Source organism: Homo sapiens, chromosome 11, assembly GCF_000001405.40.
Source record: "Homo sapiens chromosome 11, GRCh38.p14 Primary Assembly".
Taxonomy (NCBI): domain Eukaryota; kingdom Metazoa; phylum Chordata; class Mammalia; order Primates; family Hominidae; genus Homo; species Homo sapiens.
Genome location: NC_000011.10, coordinates 37,147,999 through 37,166,808, shown reverse-complemented (window position 1 = coordinate 37,166,808; position 18,810 = coordinate 37,147,999).

Below are 18,810 nucleotides of genomic sequence, written 5' to 3'. Positions count from 1 at the left end.
GACAAAGGTGTATAAGTAAGAAAATGATCATTGTCTAGGAAAGTAGTAGTTAGGAAATATTAGAGAACAATAGGTAAAGTCTAGGTTGTATTAATAGGATATTTTAAATGTCTGGTCTCAAAGTTTGATTTTTGTTCTGAATGTTATTGTGAACCACCAGAAGTTTATGAGTAGGAAGAATAACATTGAAAGGAGTGCTCTGAATGAGCCTTGCAACTATGTCCTGGGGAAAGGTGTTGGTTCGAAGAGAGATAAGCAAATAACTAGTTAGAAGATTACTTAAGTATGAATTAAATAATACAGTACTATTTGAGCAAATATTACTTATCTTTGCAAATAATTCTAGCCAAAGAAAAATATTAGTATGTGGTCAACTTCCCAAGAGAGTCTATAATTTTTTAAGAAGGGAGATTTAAATACAAGAAATAGACCTAGAATGATAAATGAGATAGAATATAATGTGATAATATCCTTAACAAAAGTGATACACATAGTAACAGAAACAGATAAAAGAAAGAGAACATGAGAGTTATAAGGGAAGACATCATGAAAAAAGTGACATTTAAGTTTGTTCTAAAATAATAACAACATTTAGGTGGCCAAAAAGGAATATAAAAAAGACATTTCGATGGAAACACATTATAAGCTAAAGTATGGAGATATGAATGAGTATAGCTTGTGCTTGGGACAATAAGCATAAAATGAGTGCTTGATGAATCTATGCAGAGGTTAAGAGATGGGCGGATAAATTAATAACGCCTAATTAGGTATCCAAATGGAATAGCAGATCAAGTTGTGTTCATTATCGAACTCTCTACTCCATGCCAGGCATTGGTTAATATTTCCAGATGTGGGTTTGTTTAGTGCTCATAACATTCCCGTGAAGTCGATATCATCCCCTACCTAGAGATGCAGAAACTGAGGCTTGTAAAGCTTGAGTTAGAAAACAGGAATTTGACAAATATTTTTAAGCCCCCATTATGTGGCATAGAGTGCCAGAGTTATTGATAGTCAATATTTGAATTCACAACTGTTTCACTCCAAAGACCTTGCACTCTCACCATCCCATGTTGCCACTGTCCATTGGACAACCCAAAGCCCATCTAGAGTTTTGAATAAGTGAGTGGCAGGAGGCAACTACAATTGAAATTTCAAGTTCACACTAATTATCACATCCTCATGTTGCCTAACAATGTTTTCCAGCTCTATGTTAATGTAGTGTCCCTTTTATTGCATCCTTTAAAAGTCTTTCTTAGTCATAAAAAGTAGTTTCTAAAACTGGAGTTATAAATGGGGCCATAAGCTGGTGCTTTGCAATTCAGATGAAATCATTAGAAGGCAGCACTGACATCCTATCTTACACTCCTCATGTGGAGGGTGGCTCAGACTCTGCAGGCTACAAACCTGAGCTGAGACATATCAGAAAGAGCAAGTTAGTGGGCTACATTGCAGACTTCAGAGAAAGAAAGTCACATCACATCATCTCACAGCTATGTGTAGAAAACCATAATGGGCTTAAGTGAGATTTAAACTAACTGGACACATGCTTGAAGTGACAATTATAAAGACCTTCAAGCAAACAAGAAAATTAGGCCAGAAAAGAAGCTATGTCTAAAACTTCCTATTAAAAAAATGACTTCTTGCTCTTTCTGCATACACACACACATACACACACATACACACACCCTAACACACACACAAATCCCAACATACACATTCCAACATACAAGCACACACTCACATACAAACACAGCAATATAAACACAGATGCCAACATACAGACACACATACTAACACACACCCACACACAAACACCAACATACACATATGCACCAACATACATACGCTCATACACACATACACTAACATGCTTGTGCACACATATAAACACCCATCACTTGCCGCTGATTTAGCTGCAAAAATTATGCCTTACAGGAAGACTATTTTTTTTTAAATTTTTTAATTTTTTTTTTTTTGAGACAGGATCTTGCTCTGTCATCCAGGCTAGAGTGCAGTAGTGCAATCATGGCTCACTGCAGCCTCAAACTTCTAGGTTCAGGTGATCTTCCTGTCTCAGCCTTCTGAGTAGTTGAGATTACAAGCATGTGCCACTGTGCCTGGCTAACTTTTTTATTTTAATTTTTTTGTAGAGATGAGATCTCAGTATGTTGCCCAGGGTGGTCTCAAACTCCTGGGCTCAAGCAATTCTCCTGCCTTGGCTTCCGAAAGTGCTGTGATTATGGGTGTGAGCCACCACACCTGGCTGAGAAAGATGATTTTAAAATGCATGTACTACTTAATTTCAGGCAATCCAATTACAACAACCACAGAGTCTTAGACAAAAAACTACATCAGTTTAATATGCAGCAAAATTATTTACTTATTTAATTGAATCTTCATGGAATATTTGCCTCCAGAGTTGAAGTTAAGCAACTAAATGTTGTGGAACGAATATAAGAACTACAGTCTAAACGGAGTTCTAGTAACCACTTACCATTTACTACTAATAGAACTTTAGAAAGTTCTATATTATCTCACTCTAAGTTTTATTGCCTACAAAATGATGTAATATCTACTACATTGCATGGTTTTTGTGAACAATAATCAAGATCAAGTAAAGTGACTAGTCCGGCGTCTACCATAAATAGAGGGTATTCAATGAATACTAAGCCCATTAACCTTGTATGTGGTTGTCTTGTTTGGGATCCCTGAGAGGTGGACCCTTAGACACAGATTCAAGTGTAAGCAGTTGTTTGGGAGGTGATGGTAGGGAAAGGGAGAAGGGATGCAGAGAATGAGGCTGATAAAGAATGAGTCATCCAGCCACAGGGCTTTGGGAAACTAAAGCTCAATTTCACTGTGGAAATCTGGGTGACAAAGTAGAAAGTGCCTTAAATTATACCAAAAGAGAAGTAAAGAAGCTGGGCTGTACCTACTCCCCATCTTTTCTGGGCAAAGGGGTGCCTAGTGTGGTACAACTCTCTGTCATTTCTGCCTTGTCATACACGCTTGCCTAGGGTGCTCCCCTTGGCCAAAAAAAAAACAAAAAGTTCTCAAGCACAGACAGCAGCATAAGTTCACAGTAAATGACCCTCAGAGTTGAGGGAGGTAACGGCCAAGAGGATGTGGAGAACATCAACAACATCTACTAAAAGAATATATAGAAAAAATATTTTTAAAAAATCCTCTTTTCCAAGATTTACCAAGATTCAGTCCTCATCCCTTTGACTCTTCTAAATGCCATAGGAACAGTAACCCTGAGGGTTTCATTTCCTGATTTATCCCAAGCTTCCTGTACATAGAAGGTATTTCACAGGTATTTTGATACATTTTATAATATATACTACTTATTCTTTACTTCTTAAGGAAAGTGATGCAGATACATTATTTACATATTATTTCTTTTGATCTTCATTATTTCTCTATTTTCCTTACTTAATGGAGGACAGAAACAAATGAAAGAAATTAGAAAAATATACTATATATCTGACTCCTGAATCCATGAGCTTAATTACCATCATATCACCTTCCTCCTCACTCTCACACCTTTGCAGACCTCCTTCACTTCCTCCTTCTCTTTAGATGTCACGGCATGCCTTCAAATTCTCTCTAAAGTGAAGCCCTTTTCCTCTGTCACAAACTTCTGCTTATGTCAAGGGTATCAGACTCAGATCCTCTGAGTCATCCCTGATGCTGCTCAACCTCCTCACTACAATATTCACATGTATATGTATTAGTGCATGCTACCTGCCCTTTAATTGATTCCCTGCTATGTGCTAACAAGATATATGACTTGGATCTTATGAAGAATCCTCTTATGAATACTTGTGAAAGTGCACATGTTAATCTGGACATACATATCTTGAGAGAAACAACAGTTAAAGACCACAAATGAGGTACACAAGTAATGCTATATGCAAAAATAAGATGATAAGATTATAAAATTTTCCAAATGTTTCTGTGACTCCCTTTCTTCTCCTGCAGAAGACCCACTATTTCAAAGTACAATTCCATCTTAAAGAGAAGAAGAATCTGGCCTTTTTTTTTTTTTTTTTTTGCATATGTTGGCTGTTAATGACCCCCTTGGAATCACAGTGAGTAGCTGGAGGTAAGGTTATTCATTACTGCTTTAGTGCTGGCTAGAACTGCAAAAGTTCTTAGGAAAGTTTAAGACAAAGTCTGTAATTTTGCCCGTTTCTTCTCAGGCTTAGATGCTGGCGGAACATATTTTTTAAGGCTTTGTGATAATTCCGTAATTGGGAATTTCAGATCTAAAAAAGTCTTTTAAATCCTAAAGACACGAAAATATACAAAGTAACTACTTATATCTCAGATGGAGACAATGTCATCAAGATGAGGCTAATGGTGACAATACCATGTTGTACTGGTTGAGCACTTATATCCACAAAAAACAGCTATCTATTGTCTCCTATGAAATGCGAATAGCTAGGCATGGTGGATGCAGAGAGAATGAGATGCTCAGAGACATATCCTGGAGGAAGTGAAAGAAGGGAATGCATAGTGATCTCATGTCCTAGATGGAGTTTGAAGCACAAATGGAAATTTTCCAGGTGAACCGCTGACTCTCTCGGCCACTCAGAAGTCATAGAATTATGCATGAGATCTGATGGACTCTGCTTAAACAAAGGAGGTCATGAATCTGCTGACCATGATAGAGGTCTTAATTCCAAGGTCTAATTCTCTGTCTAGGAATTTGTGCCGTTTTCTCTAAAATGATGATCAAATGGCTCTTAATAATAGTAAGTATATGATCTATTGATAGAGAATAAGGAAAATCATCCCACATCAAAATGCCCCAGTCAGTCCTAACATGCCTCAGTATTAAGAAATAAATGAAATACACCTTAAGCCAGGCATTCGCTTAAACAAAACAATTGCCAGACAAGCCTCTAGACCCCCATATTCCTTCAAATCATTTATATTCATCCCAAATGAAACCATGAGGTGCTTATTTCTGTAGCCCACTGAACTGCAAAGCTTCTACTACAAGGACAGCTTAATTCATATTTATTGTCTTGGAACCTATTCTACGCTTTTATTTTTCCTTTTTTTTTTTAACTTTTTAAAGAAATAAAGCCTTACTGTGTTGCCCAGCCTGAACTTGAACTCCTGGGTTCAAGTTGTTCTCCCACCTCAGTCTCTTGAGCAGCCAGGACTACAGGTGAGTACCACCTGGACTGGCGATTTCCTTTTTAAACATTAAAAGCTATTGCACACAAAATGACAGTTACAGAGACAAATATATCATATGTTCTTTTGCCTACCAATAAAATTAACAAGGCTAGCCTTCTAATATATTGGCTCCAGATATTTTTAGATAAATGAAACATAGATCCAGTTGAAGTCCCCTTCACAGCTCTGCCCCATAAAATTACCTCCTTCCCTCTTCGGAGGCATAACTGTTTTGAAGTCTGTGTGCATTCCCCCTGTCTTTTCTATATATTTTTATATTTATAATTGAGATTTAATTATTTTGTCTATTTTTGACTATTTGTACATCTTATTTAAAAGGGACACAGGAAAGTATCATTACACAGCTTGCCTTTTTTCACTTGACTCTATATTTGGGGACCTATCCAAGTAGATACATTTGGATCTTGTTATCATTTTATCTGATAAACAGTATCCCATCCTGTGGATTTCCCAGCATGAAAAACCTATTCCCATAATAATGTTGATATGGTTTAGATGTGTTATCTTGGTCAGTTCTCATGTTGAAATGTGACCTCCAATGTTGGAAGTGGGCCTACTGGGAAGTCTTTGGGTCATGGGGGTGGATCCCTAGTGAATGGCTCAAGACCCTCCCCATAGTGATAAGAGAATTCTCATTCGATGAGTTTATGTAAAAGCTGGTTGTTTAAAAGAGTCTGGTATGACCTCCTCTCTCTCTCTTGCTCCCTCTCTCACCGTGTAACATGCCTGCTCCCTCTCTACTTTCTGCCATTATTGTAAGCTTTCTGAGGCCTCACCAGAAGCTGAGTAGATGTTGGTGCTACGCTTGTACAGCCTGCAGAACCATGAGCCAAATAAACTTCCTTTCTTTATAAATTACCCAGCCTCAGGTATTCCTTTATAACAATGTAAAATGGGTTATCACAGAAGTACATTACTGATAAGGCGTAATTTTCTATTAAAGGTGTTGCTTCCTTTTTTGTCCTTCTCATTCTTAGGTAAGAATCCTGTCTGTATATATCATTTAGCATAGATAATACATGTTTGCTCACAGTTATCTACTGCATAGAAACTAGAGGATGAAAATTTAAAACCCAGATCTATCTATAGCTACTTATGTTAATATGGATTTGTCATATTCCTATTTTTACCACAGTTTTCTCATCAGCAAAATTAACTGGAATGTTGGGAATAAACCTACAACATTCATAAAAGTCACTTTCCCATTCATTATCATGCACTACTCTGCTGGGCCGGTGGGCATAAGATTTCAGAACCAATAAAGCAGAAGTGTGTGAAAATGAACAGTGTTTTTAGATAAAATTTTATGGCCCCATTAATGGTTAGAAAATGAAGACTTCTAGGCTTGTTGTTATTTACACTTTAAATAATATAGACAGCTATATCATGCACGGGTGGAATGGAATACAATTCAAAGGGTGATAGAACATACCCCATCTTCACCCCAAACAAGCACCCCACAATACCCACCACCTCACCTCCCATCAGCTCTCCAGAAATCTGAGTTTGTCTTTTCCTAAAGGAATGTTCAGTTATGTCTTGGTGGCAAAATGGAGTCATGAGATAGTGATAGGGTTGCAAGGAAAGATTACACCATTTCAGTAAAATCTTGTTGCCTCTGATAGCTTCCCTCCACACCTGTGTGATCTGCCTCCTTGCTTCTTCAGTCCCATGTCCACTGTCAAAAATTGTATCTTCTTCTAGTATTGGTTTTCTTTTTCAGTACATCAAGCTTCTTTCCAAGACAAAGGTTTTGCTTTTGGCTGATTTGGTCGACCCCACTGAATCATGCAAATAAGAGGTGAAATGTTCTCTCAGCCTGGAACATTTTTCCCCTGCTCTTCTCCCAGTCAATTCCTACTCATCTTTTCAATCTTAGAAACTAAACTTAAAACTAAGCTAATCTTTCAAATCTTAAAAACTAAACTTAAAAACCAAACTTAAAAACCAGACCAGAAGTCTAAATTACCCAACTTCAAAACATTTTATGCTCATTAGTAGCACTTAGTGCAACTTTAAATAAATAGTTTTAGTGGAATGATTTGATGTCTTTTTTATGCAATTCTGTGCTGTGTCTGTCTTTTTAAAAATGTTTTTAATTTAATAAAATACGTTTTAGGGTCTGTCTTTGTTGTCCAGGCTGTCCTCAAACTCCTGGGCTCAAGAGATTTTTCCACTTCGGCCTCCCTAGTAGCTGGGATTACAAGTGCACACCACCATGTCTTGCTCTGTATATTTCTTTATTGCGCTGCCTAGCACAGTGCAGAGAACAGTGCAGAGCAAGCCAGTAGATGCTCAATGAATTTTCACTGAAACTGTGAAAGAAACTGCCCTTGAAATGCTGGTCCTATAGTGAACATAGTAGAAAATTATGTGAAAAAGTACAAAAAGAAACCAACTTAACATTCTTTGTTTCTAGATGCAGCTTCTATGAAATGGTGGACTGAAAATTCACTGTCCTCACTCTTCCCTGCTATTTCTTTTTGGATTGATCATTGGGTGATGCCCAAGATTTTTCGTTTCAAATAAAAATGAGTTTGTTTTGTTATTTCTTCAATACATTTTCAAAATTAGAAGGAGAGGAAAATTAATGAATGTGTCAAATTCCATCCAGAGTGTGTTTTGTTCTATGCTATTTCTAGTCTCCAGCCTTTTGTCTTTTTCTCTCTTGCTACTATTCAGTTGTCACAAAAGCAACACGATTTCTCTTGGCACCATTATGTATCTGACTCTTATTAACTCAATATAGACATCTGAATTTGTGTTAACTCAGCTAAGAAAACCAAACGCATGCATGTATGTAGATAGACACACACGCAGAGTGTGTATGTGAATGAGAAAGAGAGAGTTTGCCACTGATAGGGCTTCTATTTTAGATTTCCAAGCTTACAAGACAGTTGTTTTTACAAGTTTTTGTTTTCCTCTCCACTTTTCCAGAGGAAAGGTTCTGACCAATGTGTAATCTCTTTTATACCAGCAGCAGAAAAACTCAGTTCTAAGCTCTATGAAATAGTATGATTGACTTTAGCATAAAGGGTCAAAAAAAACCTCACTATAAAAAGTGATTCAGAACTTTATGCATCTGTGATTTTCTACCGCATAAGTTAATAATTAGGTCATTTGTTCTCAAATGTTTGCGTGTATCAGAATCACCTGCAGTGCCTATTAAAATGCAGATTGCCGGGCCACACACTCAGAGTTTCTGATTCAGCATGTCTGAGGAGGGGCCAGAGACTGCCTTTCTGCTTAGGTTCTCAGGAGATGCTGTTAGTCCTTCAGGTTTACACATCGAAAGCAGCTGTATTAAGTAGTTCACAGATAGACATGTTGTTGGGACAAGTGAGCCGTATACTTAAGGTTCATGTTCTCAAAGAAGATCCCTTTGCAATGACAGAGATGGCCATTCTTGATGAACTGCTTAGTAGGATGAACAGAATTCTGGCAATGCTTGACTGAGGACCTGGGAAAATACATAACCCTACCCCACCCAGGAGAGTGGCTTTTAGTTATCAAATATTGCTTTGGAAAGTTTTGTGTGTTTTTTTGCCATTTAATAGCCCTATGAACCAGGACAAAATTTGTTTTCCTTTCTGTGCCTCAGTTTCTCAGGTATAAAGTAGAGATAAAAAGATCTATTATCAGCAATTGTAAATTTTCATAAAATAATATGGTAAAGAACTCCACATGCTACATGGAGTACAGTAAGTGAAAACAAATCTTAGTTCCCTTCTCTTACTGAAGATTCATATTGGATAATTCTTAGGACATGTATTTCAGCTTTTTCTTTTGGATACATTCAAGTAAGATAATATTCCAAAAGTGATTCCCCAGATTGGCAATCAATCTGGGCAGGTAAGAAAGGAAAAAGGCTTGGAATCTATTTGTGAAGTTGGCCCCATTGAATCATGCAAATAAGAGGTGGAATTGTTTTCAAGGACAAGATGAGGGAAGAAGGGGGACTCCATTACTGGCTTTAGATGTCAACACTATCCCAGAAGCAAGGAGGGCAATTAATAAATAAACCTTGAAATTATTGGAAACGTTGTCTCTGTGGCTAGTAATGTAGGCAGGCTATGTATTTATACCAATATTCCCAGATGGTGTCTTCACAATCTCATAGGAAACAAATGTAGCTTTGGAGAAATAAGCAAGGTACTAAAGAATAGTCTTCCTGTCCTCTGAGGAAGTCATGTAGCCTGTAAAGACAGTCTCTGTTCAATGCTGGAGTCTCCTCATTAGGACTAGTTCTGCCATTTAACTAATTAAGATGAATTATGGAAATACGTTTTTTTTTTCCTGGATTCCAGAATTCTTGGTGCAGAAAAGCAGCTCCTAAAATAATATTTATATAATTCATTGAATTTATACTGGCCTCTAGAAGAAAATCTTCATGAAAATAAAAATTTTAAAAAACCCACACACAGGTTCATTCACTGCAAAGCCATAGGGGTAGAATCTAGACTCATGAGATTTTGAATTGCTTTAAATAATTAATATAAAATCTAAATTTAAAATTTCTTTCATATTACCCTAGGTAGCCCTTTTCTTTTGGAATGTTTTATTTCTGAATTGGCATGTCACATTATAATGAATCATGGTCTTACAGTAATGCCACAAAAAGACCTGCACTTGGCTGAGGAAAAAGCTCCTCAATTAAATTAGAAAGTAAATTAAAATCTTTAAATTGATCAAAATTAAAAGAGGTAGTAGAAGATAATAAGAGATACTCAATAAAGATTCAAAGCCTATGTTAGGTAGAGAAATATGTACTATAATTGTACAGACTGAGTTCAAACCTAGTTCCCTGTTTATTAACTATGCAACTAGAACATATGCTTAACTTTTTGGGTCAACTTACTAATCATCACAGTGGTTTACAGAACACAGCTAATAAAATGAATGGCACATAATTTGTGATCTATGTTTTCCCTTTTTCCTAGTATCCTCAAAATTCTGGTAGGATTAAGCTAATTTGTGATATGGAGTGATTTAAAAAATGCTCAAAGATTTACCATATGTAATTTCAATGGTGTTCAGATAAAATTTTGTCTACTTACACTAAATATAAGGTAACTTTTCAAACCCCAGCTGAGTTGAATGTAAAATTGCACTCTAACTGCTTATCAGTAAGTAACTTTTCCAGTATTACCATTTTCCTATAAATAACTGTTCTTCAGGGAAACCAAAATATATCATCTAAAAGTAATCAGTGACAGAAAGAGAGAAATTGTTTTTTTAAAAAAAGGGAAAATGACAAACTCATTAATGGCATTACATCCGGTAATTATTTGAAACTGCTTTATCAGTTTGAATTCATAAATCTAATGGGGAAAGGATCAGAGTAAACAAGAATTTAAAATCTTATCTCTGCCTTCTCCAGAGTGCAGAGAACTTGCCCATAAATTCTTAATCAATATTCAAAAGGAAGAATTAAAGTAAATTCTGTTTTTCTTCCACGTAGGATTTAGCCTGGCTTATTACTGGATTTCCAATCATAGTCACATGACAAGATTTAAAAAAAATTTTTTTTTGGTGACTCAATTCATCAGCCATTGTGATAGACCTTATTTTTCTTCTTTTTAATATTTTATAGTAGAGATTTAGGTGAATAAGTAGAAAAAATGAAATGGTCTTATTTCTTATTGTCCATATCAGTCATTTTACTTATGGTCTAGATGATTTCTGCAACAATAATATCTCATAATGCAATCCCAGAAGCCTATCCAATCACTTTAATGAATTTCCACCAAGTATGAAAAATAATGCCCTTTATGATTAATTTAACAGTCAGAGATATAGTTGTCTGGATTTCTCTCCTAAACTGGCTGGTGTAGCAGCTTCAAATTCCCTCATATAATGAGAAAAAAAATGGAATTAAGCTTGAGAGCCTTGAGCCATATAATGGTTAAATCATATTTCTCTGTTTTTCAAATCATGTGTCTATATTTCTGCAATATAATAACAACGGAACTCGGGAAAGAGATAGCTAATAAATGAAGGAATATTATGAGATATTAACTACAATTCTCTTTAAAGGTCATCTTTAGATGAGAAAGTATAATGCTCTATTAATATTGCTTGTCATTTTAGGACTGGGCATCATTTTCTTAGAGAAATATAACCCCAGATGTCACTTTTCCTCTCTCTCTCTCTCACACACAAAACAGATTAACATCTGACAAAGTGTTAATCTTGAGAAATGCCTTGCCTTGTAATGGATTTTTAAAAAGAAAAAAATCATTCTGAATGAGGAAAAATGTTCTATTTTAAGTTACCAAATTTAGCTCATTTCTCTTTCTTTGGTTGTCTCTGGTTGCTTAATCTCTGAAGAAGCTTTTTCAGATCTTTTCATCATAAAACAAGGTGTAACCACATCTTTGTCTTTAGAATAAATGAGAGTCACATAGTTATATTTTTTAGAAGTTATACAAATGAAGGAAAATCCTTAAGATCTAACGTATTTATAATCAACCAGTTTAACAATTTATTACTTTAAAATTTTATTATATTTAATAAAGTTGATGCTAAATATGTTAAAAGAAGAAATGAGTAAAATTTCATGAATGTGTTCTATTAGATAAAATAATGCTGGAAAATACAATGTCAAATTATTTGAATCCCATCTATTGGAGAGGGATACTAATATTACTGGTTTGAGTTAGGCAGAGTTAGAATAATTTTAACCTAAATTTATCTGATTTCTAATTCAGTGTGATGCCTCTACACAGCATTGCCTTTGGACTTATGCAAATATTTTTTAGCTGAAAACTGGAACGTCAGACATGTATTAACCAATTTACGTATGCTAATTTATTATGCAAAATGATATGAAACAGAGTATATTTTTATTTCTATTTTATGAATGAGAAACCTGAAACTCAAGAAATTTGAAAGTTGAATCACTGTCCTCCAAGTTCATAGAGGTCTTGGTAGAGCTGAACTGTGAACCCAAGTATATCAGACACTAACGTCTGTGTTATTAATCACAGTGTTCTCCTGCTGGCCAATCTGAACAGAGCTGAGCTGAAAACATTGGTTTACAGAAATGTGAGTCCACTTTCATAACCGAGGAAGAGAGGCTGAACTTCAGGCTGCTTTGGCCAGAAGGTGCTGAGACTGGAATTCAGTCCTTGATTTGAGTAATGCCAACCTGAGCTCAGAGTCTTCATTCCTGCTATAGTGGAGATCGTCACTCAAATCCAGTAATGAGGGAAGAAACTTTAACTTATTGAGCAAATGACTCTGTTGGGACTTTTTTTAAAAATGTGCAAATAGGAATATTCTGGAGAGAAGCAACCCAGTTGGGAATTGTTCAATTCTTGTATACCATGCCTCTTAGCACAAATTCATGTCACCCTCACATTGACAGACATTACTGAGGGCTCAACTGGAGCAGCTATAGCTAATGACTCACCTACAGCTGGAGGAAGCCTGCTCTACACAAAGCACATAAAGACTTTTTACCAACAGAACCCTCCACAAGGCCCCTCAAGGGGGCTATTCAAGGCTGTAACCTTGAAGAGACCATCTTTGTAGTCAACTGGATGTGATCATGATTGACAAAATGCACACACCATTAATTTCAAATGTGATACTTTGTGTTATAAAAACATATATATTGGATTTTAAGACATTCGCACTCTGATTACAAATATAAAAAAATTGTTATAAAAGTTGGAGAAAAACAGAAAAGCATGAATAGGAAAAGAAAGCCACATCATCTGCATATAACAACTGCTAGTAAGTTGATACCTATCTTTCCTGTATATGTGTTCATCTATGTGTGTGTACAAGTATGTTTGTTAATAGCCCCATAAAAGTTGAATCATATTTACACATTTGATTGAAACTTCATTTTTCAATGAATTAATATATTGGCAATATTTTTAAATATTCTCTTACAAAATAATTTTATTGTTATTTATCACTTATATTAAAAAATACATAAGTAGCAATACATTGATATTTAGACAATATTATTTTTATATAGTGGTAAGTAATATATCATTTTTATCTAATAATTTTGTAAGTATTAAACAATATATTATTTACTATTTCCCTTAGTGTTGAACATATAAACTATTTTTTATTATGTAAAATAATGCTCTATGAACACTCTGGTAAACAGAATTTTATGGATGTCCATAAATATGTCTTCTTACAATTACATTTTTCATATTTTAGTCTGGCTCAGAGTAGATACCTGATAAACACATATATACTCCTATTAAATTGTGAATGTAATACATAATATTAAGACAATAATCTAAGAACTGTTTGTGTCACATTTGGTGCAAAGACCACAGACCCCTCAAGGAACTATACCTGATTATTCTTAGGCTCACTCAAAATTTAATAATAACTTAGTTTCTTTGATGTTCATGATTGCCTACATCCTGTTCACTAACACTAGTTTCCTGGTATATTTACATAGCTTCTTAGCATTCATCTGTGTGCCTCATTCACACCTTCCTTCTAAAAAAAATCACACCTCACTTGAGAACCTTTTTTTCTTCCTTTTCTCCATTTTAACATTTTAAATAAAATTGTCTATTTTCATCAGGTACTGATTCTATGCTTAATTAGCCAGTAGATTTGTACTTAATTGAGGTGTTAATATGTGACTAGCACTGTAATGTATAGCATGAAAAAATACTACATTAGTATAGTTCTGTGTGAGTTGAATATATGGTGGTCTCTGTCATCAAATAATTGACATGTGTTAGGCAATATGATGGCTCAGATTTCAGATTAAGAGGGAGATAAACAGCATAGGCTAAAGTAATTGAAAAACAGTCATAAAAGTGCTAGGACTTGATAAAATCTTGGAAAAAAATGAGTGAAATTTGAAGGAAAAAAAAGAAGACCATGTCAGACCAAAGGAAAAACTTAAGGAAAGGCACTATAAATGACCATATTTATAGATTTAAGATACTCTGTTAGGGAGTAGTAAGGAAGTATTCACTATGTAGAATGGAGTCCAAGTCTAGAGAGTTCTCAAAAGAAAATTTGAGGGCAAGTAGAAGGGGTCATATGATAAAATATATTTCAGTGACTCTCATAAGCCAAAGTGGTGTTTCTCCAAAGCTTCCATTTCTTGGAACACATAGAAAATGGCATTTGTACAGCATGGCATGGAGAGGAAATGATGAAGATATGCATGGACGGAGGTGATAGTCCTGGGGGGTCCAGCTGCTCAGGCCCATCTGCTTGCCCTAAAGACAGAGGGGATGAATAGTCTCAGCATATCCGAATCATCAAATCAGGAGAAGCTCCTGTGGAAGCTCTGGACTAGAACATACTAAACAGTCTAAGGTTGGTCCAAATTTGTGTGCTCCTATTCTCAAGGGATAAACTTTAATAAAATAGAGAATTTGGGGTAATAAAATTGTGGACATAAAGGATGTCTCTGATAGATGATCAGAGATGATGGATTTTGTTTTGTCAATTGAGCTTTTAGCAAACTTTAAAACAAATGCTACCAGTCTTGTTCAGTATTTTTTAGTATAGAGACTTCTTTTTACACCATATATTGTCTATGTAACTTGTCATGTAGTCAGATGGTTTTCTGTGGAAGTAGTCAATGATATAGGCATGGATAAATTGAGTGATTGGTTAATGTGATCACTCAATGTGATCTCTGATCCAAAAATGTGGAAGCAAAAAATATGTTCATGTCAGGGTTATGATAAGATCACTAATGCTATCAGTAGAACAAAATCTATTCATCCATTACATGGAATCTAGCAAATTCTTGAGCAGTCTCTGTCATACTAAGAATTCCATAATAAAATTCAACGGGAATTTTCAGAATCTCATCTTAACCCTTTATCTTAAATATGTGGAAAAACAGAATCAATGAGGTGACGTTATATTTTCAAAGTGACCGAGTGAATATAATATCCAAGACAGAGCTAGAAATCAAGTTTCTTTATTCCTGTCCAAGACCCTTGATGGAATACCACACTGACCTATGGGCAATTTTATGTAAATATTAGAATACAATTTAGTCAGGTCCCAAAAGTTTTGGCAAGTCATCACATTCCCAAAGGTTTAGCTGAAGCCAGTATAATTTCACTCTTCTTTCTTTATCAGGTTCTATAAGAATAAAAGCAAAATATATCAGCTAGCTATCACTGTGTTACAAACCAACCCAAAAATAATAGTTAGAAACAACTATTTATTTAGCTCATACTTTTGTGTGTCAGTAACTTGGATGGAGCTCAAATGGGTGGTTTTTCTCATTCTAGGTGTAGTTACTTATGTATCTGTGATCAGGTACTGGGTCAGCTGGAGGCTGATTGATCCAAGATGGCTCAGCTAGACTGGCTCATCTTCGTCCCACGTGGTCATTTATCCTTCAGCAGACTAGACTGACTCTAATAACATAGAGACTGGGCTGAATTCCCAGGGAGATAGTGAAAGCATCCAAGACTTCTTATGGCTTAGGCACATAACTAGCACAATATCATTTTTATTGCAACTTGTTGAATAGAGCAAGGCATAAGACTAGCTGGTATTCAAATGGAGGATAATAGATTCTACATCTTAATGACAGGTGATGTAAGTCAGATGTTAAGGGCATGGATACACAGAGATGAAGATCAGGGCCTCTTTGCAAACAATTTCCACGAAGAGAAGAGATTTTCATAAATTTCTTGCTGCATTTGCAACATTGGAAATAAGGTGGATTAGAAGTTGAAACCAGCGCTTCCATTCCATATTAACCTAAGCCTCACGACAAAAGGATCAATATCCTTAAATGTATACCTCAAGTATAAAAACAGACTGGGAAAAATTATTTTTGATGAAAAACTATATCAGCAATATTTGCAATTGTGAATAGACATTAAAACCAACAAAGGACTAATGGAAGTAAAAATATCTGAGACATATTCTTCCTACATGTTTGCCCACATCTTTCCAGTCTGCTTTGCTGATTGCATTTTCGCCACCAGTCCTGCAAAGTTTGGCTGCCATAGGAGTCTGTCCATGGAATTTTCTCCTTTGTCTTTGTACTCTCAAACTAGATGTCATCAATCCCATCACCTTCAATATCACAAATATGCTGATGGCTGTCAAATTTAATTTGCCATTGAGAGCTTTCTTCTAAACTCCAGATTTTTAAGCAACTGCCTAACCTACATTTCCATTATCCATTCAAATTCTTCATGCCCTAATCTACTGAATTGTTTGTACTAAAATAAAATACTTTCCAAACTCTTTAAAATCAAGATTAATGGTACTACTAGTATCCATCCAATGTTCAGGTAAAAACTAGTTGTTTCCCCAATTCCTTATAGTCATCTAATAATTTTCTTGTTTAGTTTCTAATTCCAAAATACATGTCAAATGTGACCACAGTGTTCAGTCCAACCAACATTGCCTCTTATCTGCAGTAGCCTCCTGCTGTTCTCCTGGCTCCTATAGCCTATCCTCTACAGAGCAGTCAGAATAAGCTTTTAAGAAAGTACAATAGACTATGTCACCATGCCCGGGTAATTTTCGTATTTTTAGTAGAGAAGGGGTTTCACCATGTTGGACAGGCTGGTCTCGAACTCCTGAACTCAAGTGATCTACCCACCTCTGCCTCCCAAAGTATTGGGATTACAGGTGTGAGACACCATGCCCAGCCCTATTTATCAATTTATCTGTCAATGGACATTTGGTCTTCTTTCTGTCTTTTGGCTATTGTGAATAATGCTGCTGTGATTACTGGTGTACAAATAGCTGTTAGAATCCCTGCTTTCTTTTTTTTTCTTCTTTTTTTTATTATACTTTAAGTTTTAGGATACATGGGCACAACGTGCAGGTTTGGTACATATGTATACATGTGCCATGTTGGTGTGCTGCACCCAGTAACTCATCATTTTACATTAGGTATATCTCCTAATGCTATCCCTCCCCCATCCCCCCATCCCACAACAGGCCCCAGTGTGTGATGTTCCCCTTCCTGTGTCCATGTGTTCTCATTGCTCAATTCCCACCTATGAGTGAGAATATGCGGTGTTTAGTTTTTTTGTCCTTGTGATAGTTTGCTGAGAATGATGGTTTCCAGCTTCACCCATGTCCCTACAAAGGACATGAACTCATCATTTTTTATGGCTGCATAGTATTCCATTGTGTATATGAGCCACATTTTCTTAATCCAGTCTATCATTGTTGGACATTTGGCTTAGTTCCAAGTCTTTGCTATTGTGAATAGTGCCACAATAAACATACGTGTGCATGTGTCTTTATAGGAGCATGATTTATAATCGTTTGGGTATATACCCAGTAATGGGATTGCTGGGTCAAATGGTATTCCTACTTCTAGATCCCTGAGGAATCGCCACACTGACTTCCACAATGGTTGAACTAATTTACAGTCCCACCAACAGTGTAAAAGTGTTCCTATCTCTCCACATCCTCTCCAGCACCTGTCATTTCCTGACTTTTTAATGATCGCCATTCTAACTGGGGTGAGATGGTATCTCATTGTGGTTTTGATTTGCATTTCTCTGATGGCCAGTGATGATGAGCATTTTTTCATCTGTCTTTTGGCTGCATAAATGTCTTCTTTTGAGAAGTGTGTGTTCATATCTTTCACCCACTTGTTGATGGGGTTGTTTGTTTTTTTCTGTAAATTTGTTTGAGTTCATTGTAGATTCTGGATATTAGCCCTTTGTCAGATGAGTAGATTGCAAAAATTTTCTCCCATTCTGTAGGTTGCCTGTTCAGTCTGATGGTAGTTTCTTTTGCTGTGCAGAAACTCTTTAGTTCAATTGGATCCCATTTGTCAATTTTGGCTTTTGTTGCCATTGCTTTTGGTGTTTTAGACATGAAGTCCTAGCCCATGCCTATGTCCTGAATGGTATTGCCTAGGTTTTCTTCTAGGGTTTTTATGGTTTTAGGTCTAACATGTAAGTCTTTAATCCATCTTGAATTAATTTTTGTATAAGGTGTAAGGAAGGCATCCAGTTTCAGCTTTCTACATATGGCTAGTCAGTTTTCCCAGAACCATTTATTAAATAGGGAATCCTTTCCCCATTGCTTGTTTTTGTCAGGTTTGTCAAAGATCAGATAGTTGTAGATATATGGCATTATTTCTGAGGGCTCTGTTCTGTTCCATTGGTCTATATCTCTGTTTTGGTACCAGTACCACGCTGTTTTGGTTACTGCAGCCTTGTAGTATAGTTTGAAGTCAGGTAGTGAGATGCCTCCAGCTTTGTTCTTTTGGCTAAGATTGACTTGGCAATGCAGGCTCTTTTTTGGTTCCATATGAACTTTAAAGTAGTTTTTTCCAATTCTGTGAAGAAAGTCATTGGTAACTTGATGGGGATGGCATTGAATCTATAAATTACCTTGGGCAGTATGGCCATTTTCATGATATTGATTCCCAGCTGCTCGGGAAGCAGAGGCAGGAGAATCACTTGAACCCAGGAAGCGGAGGTTTCAGTGAGCCAAGATTGCACCACTGGCATTCCAGCCTGGGCAACAGAGCGAGACTCTATCAAAAAAAAAATTGATAAATAGAATGTTGTATATACATGCAATGGAATATTATTCAGCCTCAAGAAAGAATTCTCACGCATGCTACAACATAGATGCACCTTG